Source organism: Homo sapiens, chromosome 7 (genome assembly GCF_000001405.40).
Source record: "Homo sapiens chromosome 7, GRCh38.p14 Primary Assembly".
Classification (NCBI taxonomy): domain Eukaryota; kingdom Metazoa; phylum Chordata; class Mammalia; order Primates; family Hominidae; genus Homo; species Homo sapiens.
Window position 1 is genome coordinate 155,053,665 of NC_000007.14, and position 11,875 is coordinate 155,065,539.

The following is an 11,875-nucleotide window of genomic DNA, read 5'->3' on the forward strand; positions in this document are numbered from 1 at the left end:
GTGCAGTGCTGCTATCACGGCTCACTGCAGCCTCGGCCTCCCCGGGGCTCAGGGGATCCTCCCACCTCAGCCTCTTGAGTGGCTGAGACTACAGGTGCACACCACAATGCCCGGCTAATTTCTGTATTTTTTATAGAGATGGGGTTTTGCCATGTTGCCCAGGCTGGTCTCAAACTTCTGCACTGAAATGATCTGCCCATCTCAGCCTCCCAAAGTACTGGGATTACAGGCATAAGCCACTGCGCCAGGCACTACTTCCAACCTGAGAAGTGAGTTGAGCAACTGTTGGAAATCTGGCCCAAGGAGACTTGGAGTAAGAGTCCAAAGAGTCAGCTTTCTTCCTGATCCCGGCGATGTTTCTGGTGTCACCCCTTCTGAATAAGTCACTTGCTGAGTTACTATTTACTGGACACACCCGTCTCAGAAAATACAGGTCACTCCAAAGCACTCTGTGGCTTACATTTGTAATTGTGGATTTTGCTTTGAAACTTCAAGGGTATAAAGATATTTGATTCACTCTGATTTCCAACTTTGATTTTAAGTTCTGGGGTACATGTGCAGGATGTGCAGGTTAGTTACATAGGTAAACGTGTGCCATGGTGGTTTGCTACACAGATCATCCAATCACCTGGGTATTAAGCCCAGTATCCATTAGCTCTTCTTCCTCATACTCTCCCTCCTCCCACGCCCTACCCTCTGACAGGCTCCAGTGTGAGTTGTTCCCCCCATGGGTCTGTGTGTTCTCATTACTCAGAATCGGTGATGTGTCTTGGTAGTACTGAGTCTAGTCTTAGGACAATGCTGTCTTCTGGGCTGTGGAAGGAGAGAATTTTGCCCAGATTCGTGGTCATGTCACATGGAGCTTTGTCCCCATCAGGACTGTTTCTGTTCACTTTCCCAGGGGCACAGCGTGTGTGTTATATATGCCTGAACCTTGTTCAAGGGAGAAGATGATAAGAATTAATGAGAACAAGTCTCCATGGACTACATGACCCTGTTCATTTGAATCTTTTATCTAAAAAGTTTTCATGTGTTGACACCAAATATATTAAAGTATATTTTAATTAAAAAATGTTTTTGAAGGAAGAGATATGGAAAAGAGAATTACTAAGTAAAGAACAGAATGGGTCCTAGATATAATCACAATATCTGCGCTTAGAAGAACCAGAGGCTTTCTGTCCACTGGAGCCCAGGGCCAAATGTCACTTCCTAATGTCTGTAGTCTTTCACAAACCAGCAACTTTTCCAAAAATTAAGAGAACAAATATGAAAATAGGTTATGAGTCTTGCCCCTGAGTATGTGTCATCTGAAGGGAACCATATGTGATGGTGATGAGTATGTGAAATTGTGTTATGCCAGTCGATTTAGTTTTATGTGTGTTTGAAATTTTCCAAAATAGATAAGTAAAAAAAAAAAATCAGAAATGCATTGTTAACAGAAACATCCTTGAAAAGTTTTTTTTTTTTTTTTTTTTTTTTTTTTGAGATAGGGTCCTGCTCTGTTACCCAGGCTGGAGTGCAGCGGTGTGATCTTGGCTCACCACAACCTCTGCCTCCCAGGGTCAATTGATCCTCCCACCTCTGCCTGCTGAGTAGCTGGGTCTACAGACACGCATCACCATGCCTAGTTAATTTTTGTGTGTGTATATTTTTTGTAGATACAAGGTTTCAGCACATTGCCTAGGCTAGTTTTGAACTCCTGGGCTCAAGCATTCCACTGGTCTCCGCCCAAAGTGTGAGATTACAAGTGTGAGCCACTGCACCCAGCCCATCCTTGGAATAGTTGGAAGCTGTTGTATGTATGATAGAGAGGATGAAAGAAAAACGACACATTGAATTGGGCTCCTGCTTTGAATGGAAATAATGGGGTCCCAGAGAGGAAACAACTGTCAGAGACATGGTTGACAAGATTTATGTAATAGGCTCTAGGGAAAGAGAAAATCAAAGCATTTTGATCTCAGGGTCCCAGGAGGTAGCTTGTCAATTATGGAACCTTAGGAATAGAATGTATGGGCAATCGAATAAGGCGTTAACTTTAATAATAATAATAAAAACGTTTCTGGGTCTGGTGGGCAGAAATTAGACTCAAGTTACCACAGCTGAGTTTTTGTTTTTGATGGAGTTTTGCCCTTCTCGCCCAGGCTGGAGTGCAATGGCATGATCTCGACTCAGTGCAACCTCTACCTCCCCCATTCAAGAGATTCTCCTGCCTCAGCCTCCCAAGTAGCTGGGACTACAGGAGCACGCCACCATGCCTGGCTAATTTTTGTATTTTTGATAGAGACGGGGTTTCACCATGTTGGCCAGGCTGGTCTCAAACTCCTGATCTCAGGTGATCCACCCACCTCAGCCTCCCAAAGTGCTGGGATTACAGGCGTGAGCCACTGTGCCCAGCCTACAGCTGAGTTTCAAAGCCCCTCACTGGACCTGCTCCCAGTCCTGGGGCCTCTTGATTGAAGAGAAGGCTGGGCCCCTTTGGGGAAATTCCCCACAACGTGGCCATACCTGCAAACTACACACCTCCCTTCAAATGTCTGCAGGGAGACCCCTGGCCCCTTACCAGTGTGCAAGGGAAATGCACACCCCTGTAGGACATTTTAGGCACTGGCTGTGGGGAAGTTCCCGTTCTCTGGGGTCCGGTTCTGACCTCAGCTGCGGCTCAGCAGGACAGTTTCATGCACCCCACAGCATGGCATTCCGCACTCTCTCCACCCTCCTGCCTCAGGGCTTGCTTCGCAACCATGAGGACTGAGGACTTAGCCTGCACTCAGAAGCCTCCCAGAAGCAGGGTGGTGAGGCTGACGCCTTGGGAGCAAACATCAACCAATGGGGTGTAGGAGTCAGCGGGTGAGTGTTGTGGCCTCTTGCCCTTCAGGGATAGACTTTAGGGGGAGTACACCCTGCTTGTCCACAGTGGACACCAGCTGTCCAGTGTCTTTTTTTTTTTTTTTTTTTTTTTTTTTTGAGATGGAGTCTCACTCTGTCACCCAGGCTGGAGTGCAGTGACATGATCTTGGCTCACTGCAACCTCCACCTCCCAGGTTCAAGTGATTCTCCTGCATCAGCCTCCCAAGTAGCTGAGACTATAGGCACCTGCCACCACACCTAGCTAATTTTTGTATGTTTAGTAGAGACAGGGTTTCACTATGTTGACCAGGCTGGTCTCGAACTCCTGACCTTGTGATCCACCCGCCTCGGCCTCCCAAAGTGCTGGGATTACAAGCATGAGCCACTGCACTTGGCCTTCTCCAGTGTCTTTTTATTGGCTCCTCCTTCCTCACACCCACTCTCTCTGCTTCCCTGCTCCTGCTTTCAGAGATCACCTCCCAAACAAACTACTTATACCCAATGTTCTGTCTCATAATTTGCTTGGGGCAGGGTGACTCAATTAAGAAACTGTATCTGCACTAACGTGGATCTCTGGGGCCTCCTCCTACCACCATGTCTACCAGTCAGAGTGGGGATTATGGAGGTTGGAATCTTGGCCCAAGTCCATCCTGCTACAGGCCCAGTGAGCACACGGACTCAAATCGTGGCTGCTCCCGTCCCGTTACTGACTGCTTAGAATAAAGATGCTTAATCAGCTGCAGAATATCCACATCAGCTCACTCATCTGCGAAGTAAAAATTGGTGTGGAAAAGAAGGGCCAAGTAAAATCCTTGAAACTGCTCCCTGTAGCACCCCTGTAATCCCGAGGGAATTATGGAGATTAGAATGCAAGGGGTCAGTTCCTGAGGAATCACTATTTAAATTATCTGCTTGGCTGGCATCAGAGATGAGTGTCTTGGGTAATCAATGTGGATTATGGTGATTGCAGCTGTGGTCCCAGATGCCATATTTCTGGTGGAGTAAATAAACATAAACCCTGGAACCTGGTATGCAGTAATCAAGTTGACAAAAACAAACAAACAAACAAACAGAAACAACCCACTTTGACCTTCATTTTCTTATGTCACGATTTTGTCAATTCTTCTGCCCTCCATATTATATCGTCTTGAAGGAACTTGACATCCCAAATAATACCAGATGGTCGTTATATTGATAACGTGATTCTAACTGCACCCGCTGAGGAGGAATTAGCAAATACAACAGAAATCCCAATAAAATATATGCCTGCTAGAAGACGGGACATAAGCCCCAAGAGATGTTTCTGGAAGGACATCTAGTAGCATGGGGTATATTAGAATATCCCCTCTAAAGTGAAAGGATACCACCTTGAAGAAAGTGGTACAATGCTCGTCCTGGAATCGGGGCTACATTTCTCTAGCCCATTTTCCAGATAACTGTTGCACCGGGCTCCTATTAATTTCAATAGGAATGGCACCAAGTTCAAGAGGCCAAAGATGAGACCCAGAGCCAGCAAATGAGAGTTGCGGTTACTGAGGGGAACTTACATACAGGGTGGCCCATGGTTGCAGGCAGGGAGGAGAACTGCTGCCGCCCACAGAAAGCATGCAGTTTACAGGACATTTTCACAACACCCTCTGTGAACCCCCCAATGGCTGAGATGGTCTCAGTTAACTTAGAAAGTTCTTTTTGCCAAGGTTGAGTATGCCTGCCCGTGACACAGCCTCAGGAGGTCCTGATGACATGTGCCCAAGGTGGCCAGGGCACAGCTTGGTTTTATATATTTTAGGAAGATGTGAGACATCAATCAATATATGTAAGAAGTACAATGGTTCTGTCCAGAAAGGTGGGGACAACTCGAAGCAGGGAGGGGGCTTCCGGGTCACAGGTAGGTGGGAGACAAATGGTTGCATTCTTTTGAGTTTCTGATAAGCCATTCCAAAGGAGGGCAATCAGATATGCATCTATCTCAGTGAGCAGAGGGATGACTTTGGATAGAATGGGAGGCAGGTTTGCCCTGAGAAGTTCCCAGCTTGACTTTTCCCTTTAGCTTAGTGATTTTTGGGCCCCAAGATTTTCCTTTCACATCTCCACCTGGAAACCTTCATTTAACCCAAAACAAGGGGGCCTGAACCCCTGAGTTGCCTGAGTTCTGTGGGACAGGTCAGGCGCTCAGATATTCCTCATAGCCAAGGAACGAATCTCCAGATTGTCCTCGCTCACCACTCTGAATACACATTCAGGTGCATCTGCCATACGGGGTCATTCTTAGGATCTGCTTAAGTTACTTTATTGCTATCAGGTGCATCAACCCTAAGTAACTAATAAGGCTGCCAGTATTAAGGGAAGGAGAGAGTAACAGAGAGCTCTTCAGTAAGTCCAAATTGCAGTGAAAGTAACCTAACTAATCATTGCAAATAGGGTGGATCGATCAGAAGCCAGAATCATCAAGGTGGCATGCACAGAAGCATTCAATTATTAAACAGAAATAGCATGGGAGACTGGGCACTGAGCACATCAGAATGCTCAGCAATTGCTATGGGCAGATGGCCCAGGCCCCCCTGCTGCCTGCTTCTATCACTCACAGCCTCTCCCTCCACTCACACCCGTTGCCTCATGGCGTTTCCACTATTGATCAGTTAATAGAAAAAAAGGTGCAGCCTCTTCACTGCGGAGTCTGTGGCATGTGTTGGCACCTGCTGGCAGAGGACCATTGCTGCCTTAAGGCCCCAATTAGGTGTGATTCTGAAACACAGGAATCAATGACCATCTTCCCATGGGACAAAATTTCCAGAAGTAAATCTCTTTGCTGGCTTTGCCTGAAAGAAAAGGTAGGCTGAGGCATGGACCCACAATAGCTTCAGGGGCCTGATTGCATGAGCAGGTAGCCCAAACCCCCTCGTTGCCCACCACAGTTCCACCAGAGCCACTGCCCCAGTTCCTACTACAGCCTTGTTGGAGCTCCCATATGATCAGTGAAGGAGGAGGAGAAACCTGAGCTTGGCTGATGATTCACTTGGCTCATTATATGGGTGCAAATGCATGACAGCTGTGTTACAGCCACATTCAGGGATGCCCTTGAAAGACTGCAGATAGAGGAACTTTTCCCAATGGTTGAAGTTATTTAAGCAGGGCATCTGGCGTATTGTAAGACCTAAAAGTTCAAATGCTGCCTTGACACCTTTGGGCCTCCATGGCTCCAAGGTCTAAACTTCTAGGTCCTCTTCTCTCCCAAGATACTCACAATCTCCACCCCCTTGTGGGATAGACTCCTACCCAGGTAGTTCTCCCATCAGGTGGGTGGGCTGCATCCCACCTGGCCCTCAACCTAATGGGTTCCACCTTCCAGCAAACTGTTGGAATTACTCAAACAGGCTGTTCACATTCTCCTGTAATGAGCCACCACAATACCCTCTTTATCAACTCGCCCACCCCCTGTCACTACAAAGCCTGCTTCCCCCTCCCCCGACCAGTGCACTCTGCTCCCAAGTGCGGCCTCACTCCCACGGTCCTCCTCCCTGGGCTGAGTCTATGTGACTGAGAAACTGCCATTGATCATACCTGTCCAGGGCCAGGTGTCACGTGTTCTGCCATCTTATACTGTTTTGGGCAGGGTATCCCTTCCTCATCAATGGGGTGAAGTAGAGGCAACCAAAGAACCTAGTAATCCACGGCTTGTGGCCTGATGTGAGGGTGTGGATTGGTGGTCTCTGGTCACGGGGCTGGAAGGAAAAGGACTCCGCTTCCTGGTCCTCATTGTACATAGCAACAGGCAGGTGCTGCTGGCTGGGGCAGGTATGATTCCCAAGGGTCCAGACCCCTCAGGAACTGAGGCTCAATGGACACCATCAGGTAACCTGCTAAGGTGAGAGCTGAGGGTGAGGGGAATTTAGAAAGCTTTAATGACACTGGGTGATCCTGGGCCCACTAATCCTCAACATGTGTGGGCATTCTGCTTTTGATTGTATTCAGCCACTTAAGGAGATGGCTGTGGGTCTCTCTGGGAAAGGACTAGGGGAATTGTGATGGCATATACTAGACATGATATTGCAGGGTCCTTCCTGCTAGAACCCAGCCTCCTCTTTAGTCAGTGGGTTCTTGATCTGGAAATTGGTCTCAGTCTGTAAGGGATTGTGTCTTTTAGGTTTCTTTGATTTGGGTTGAAGTCAAAGCAGCACCCTGGCTGCTGACCTGCTTATTTTGGCCTTGGGGGTACCATACTCTCTTAGTCCTCCCCCATATCCCAGGAGTCAAGCACCCTTGGGCACACCTCGTTGGCATTATGGTCACTGTGAGCTTCTAGCTTCTGGTGACCAAGTGTTTCTGCCTGGCCCCTGTCACTTGACACAACATCGTCTGCATGGATATTTGCGTGTGATCCGCCTCTTACCATCATTCCTGGCCTCCGAGGAGATCTACCACTGAGCTTTTCACTAGTTCATTCTTGATGGCCTCAGTGAAGGGGGCTTCCTCTGGGCCCCCCAGGAACATAATCCTCTGAATCTTCCAGCCTTACATAATCTATCTGTCCCAGAAGCCCACTTCCCTCAGCCTTTTATTCCTTCCTCTCCCATCTGCCAAGGCAGCTCAGGATTTCCACAACTAATTACCCATCACTTTCCCCAGGCTGCTGATAGCCACACTGGTGGTGAGTGCCCCACCTCATGGTGTCCTTGCTGGTTCTGTGTCCTGAGAGAGTGCCCCCAAATCTACAAGTTCTTCCTTATTTAGGATTATTTATTTTATTTTATTTTTCCACAGGTTATTGGGGTGCAGGTGGTGTTTGGTTACATAAGTAAGTTCTTTAGTAGTGATTTGTGAGATTTTGGTGCACCAATTGCCCAGGCAATATACGCTGCATCCTATTTGTAGTCTTTTATCCCTTACCGCATCCCACTGTTCCCTCCAAGTCCCCAAAGTCCATTGTATCATTCTTACGCCTCTGCATCCTGGTAGCTTAGCTCCCACATATTAGTGAGAACATACGATGTTTGGTTTTCCATTCCTGAGTTACCTCACTTAAAGTAATGGTCTCCAGGCCAGGAGTGGTGGCTCATGCCTGCAATCCCAGCACTTTGGGAGGCTGAGATGGGAGGATCACCTGAGATTAGGAGTTCGAAACCAGCCTGGCCAAAATGGTGAAACCGTGTCTCTACTAAAAATACAAAAATTAGCCGGGCGTGGTGGCAGGTGCCTGTAATCCCAGCTATTTGGGAGGCTGAGGCAGGAGAATCGCTTGAACCTGGGAAGCGGAGGGTGCAGTGAGCCGAGATCACACCATTGCACTCCCACCTGGGCAACAGGAGCAAAACTCCCTCTCAAACAAACAAAGAAACAAACAACCAAAAAAAAAAAAAAAAAAAGAATAGTCTCCAATCTCATCCAAGTCGCTGAGAATGCCATTAATTCATTCCTTTTTATGGGTGAGTAGTATTTTATCAGGTATATATACACCACTGTTTCTTTATCCACTCGTTGATTGATGGGCATTTGGGTTGGTTCCACAATTTTGCACTTGTGAATTGTGCTGCCATAAACATGTCCTGAGAGAGTGCTCCCAAATCTAAAAGTTCTTCCTTATTCAGTTTTATATCTGCTCCAGCAGATGACATTTGTCAATCTCCCTCAAAATCTAGTCCCTGGGGCCCTCCCCTCATTCTTGCTGGAATCTTGTAGACATTCCTTGCAAACCCTTCAGTTATAGACATTTTCCACCTTATGAGGCCTAGCCAGGTAATGCTACAACTTAACCCTGGGTTCTTTCCTGAAGCCAGGAGAAGGGGAGGGAGGAGGGCCTGAGGGAGTGGCTGCTGCCTGGGGGTGGAGTGGGGTAGAGGCACCTGCCACAGCTTCCAGACTGGAGAAAGAGCTAGGGAAGGGGTGGGGGCGACTTCTGCAAGCTCTGGGCTTCAGGGTGTCCTCAAGGACCGGCGTTCTTTTCTTTGCAAGAAAGAGCTGTATGTAAAAATGTATTTCTCTGTATGGCTTTCCCTCAACAGTATACTCAGCCATTTGAGTATTGGGGCCATCCTCCAAAAAGCCAGATGGTTCTAGTAACTGAAGACAGATTTGACCTCACAAAATGCCAAACTCGTTCTTGCTTTCACCCCACTGCCAAAGAGGAGGAAATGCCTATTATAAAAGCAGCTTTCTGAAACACGCCTGGTAAACTGTGGATGCAGCTTACTGGCCTGGTTAAAAAGAGGCAGGAGAAAAAGGGCCTTGGTTATTCCCCAGCCCTCTCCCCACGTGTTTCTGTTTTCTTTCACTTTAATTCAGATACCTGAGGAATGCTAGGGGCAAAAGCAAACCAAGAATAACTGTGGTTTGTGCACTCAGTCTATGTGTAAAAGATACTTGGCTATTAACAAGAAATGTTACACATCCCACTGTTAGACACTTCCCAAGATAATAATTTAATGTTATGAATATGACTCTTTGAAGATTCATGTTTAGCCTCTTACATCGTGGGACATTTCTAAGTTGAGACAAATAAGAAAGTAGAGACAAATAATTTCTATTCTAGAATAAGATACTTCAAGTAATCTTATCTCAATAATTTACTCACTTTAGGCTAGTGAGTAACTTTATCCAATAAATAGGTACAGTCATGTGTCACTTAACAATAGAGATATGTTCTGAGAAATGCACTGTTATGTGATTTTGTTGTTGTGCAAACATCATAGAGTTTATTTATACAAATCTGTATGGGATAACCTACTACACCTTAGGCTGCATGGGATAGCCTATTGCTCCTATGCCATGAAGCTATACAATGTTACTACTTACATCAGCATTACAGCTGAGTAACATGTTGTGCTATTATGACTCATTAGGTGATAGGAATTTTTTTAGCTCCATCATGATCTTATGGGACTATCATTGTGTATGTGGTCTGTTGTTGACTGAAACGTTATTTTGTGGCACATGCATTTTGATTTTCTTCTTCAGAAGATGAGCTCTCCTAGGCTACATATTTTGTGTTCGTCTAAGCATTTGGACTTGCTGAATACTGCAATAGGTGTTCATTGTGTTTACAATTGAGACCTCAACCGATCCTTCAGGGGCTTTGAGCAGGAGTTGCCTATCAGAACTGTCCCAGATTGGCAAGGGAGCTGGGACTCTGTATCCCTGCATCAGTCTGTCATTGGCTTCAGGTCACCTGCTGGGATGAGACAACACTGAGACAACATCGGCAAGGCTGTTTTATGCAGCAGAGCTCAATTCCCAATGAGGGACATAGCTATAAGCCATCAACAGCTGATACTCAGAATCTAGGGAAGGAAGAATCGGTGCAGAGGGAGGGACCTGGACAAATTACCATAGCATCCACTGCAGTCCACTCCTTATACCTCCAAGCCCACTTGCTTCTCACAGTGAGTTCTTTCCATCCAGGGTTCTGGTTGTTGGGACAAGGCACGACCCTCACTGTTGCAGCTGGTCTCAAGTCTGTGACAGATACTCATCATCTCCCTTCTCCACTAGCTGCCTGTGTTTTCTTGCACCTGTGCTAGCATCTCTGTTGACCTTGATGTCAGAATCATCCATGAGGTAAGGCCCTCATCCCGGAGGGATCTGACCCACTGGTTACCAAGATCTTTTCATGCCATGATTGCCACATCTATGTATTTACATTCTGGAGAATAACATGTCCATGCTAATCACTTTGCTGCCAAACACATCTGACACGGTTTGGCTGTGTCTCTACCCAAATCTCATCTTGAATTGTAGCTCCCATAATCCCCACATGTTGTGGAAGGGAGCCAGTGGGAAGTGATTGGATCATGGGGGAGGTTTCTCCCATGCTGTTCCTGTGACAGTGAGTGAGTCTCGCAAGATTTGATGGTTTTATAAGCATCTGGCATTTTCCCTGCTGGCACTTCTCTCTCCTGCCGCCTTGTGATGAAGGTTGTGTTTGCTTTCCCTTCTGCCATGATTATGCATTTCCTGAGGCCTCTGCAGGCATGTGGAACTGTGAATCAATTAAGCCTATTTTCTTTATAAATTACCAGTTTAGGTATTTCTTCATAGCAACGTGAGAATGGACTAATGCAGTATCCTTCTCTGCTCCCTCCGTAGCCACAACCTGCCACCTCCTCATAATCAGTTACCCCTATCACGTTGCTGACTCTTGTCCTTGCCTGCTAGTCTCTTGGCATGAGCAGCCCAAAGTGAACAAGTTACATTGAACTATTGCTATGGCACCTGATGGGAGCTCTGTCTCTCTAGGAACCAGAACCTCTAGACTCACAGAGCCTAAAGTCGCATGGACAAGAAGGACAACGTTGCCAGGTGGTCACTGATGTGACAGGAAGCATGACGATGTGCTTCTATTTCATGATTTCCAGGCCTGTCCGTATAGTCTACCTTAAGGACAGCCCCATAAAAAGACATTGATTGATGGTATCGCTATCTATAGAGGGATGGTGTTGCAGAGTAGAGTCTCCTAGTAGTATCTCCCTAGCACATTTGAGAGGCCATCCCCCCTCTCCATCAGGCTGGCAGTTTCTGGGTAAAATAGTGTCTTAATTTCCTAGGGTGGCTGTTAACAATGTGCCACAAACTGTGGGGCTTAAAACAACAGAAATCAATTTTCCCACAGTGTGGAAGCTACAAATCTGAAATCAAGGTGTCAGCAGATAGGGCTATGCTCCCTGAGGGCTCCAGGGAAGAGTCCTTCCTTGCCTCTCTTGTTCCTGGTGTTGCTGGCAATCCTCAGTGTTCGTTGGCGTGTGGTGGCATCACTCGGCTCTGTCTTCACATGGCCTTTTCTCTCTGTGTCTGTGTCTTCACACATCCCTCTCTTATGAGGTCACTGTCATTGGATTTAGGGCCCACATTAATCCAGTGCAATTTTAACTTGATTACATTAGCCAAGACCCTATTTCCAAAGAAGGTCACATTCACGGATACCAGGGGTGAGGACTTCAACACTTCTTTTTTCTCAATCGGGGAGAAGTGCAGCTCGACTTGCAACAAGTGGTCTGTGATGGGACCCGAGGCCATGTGCTCATTGCTGTAAAGTGGG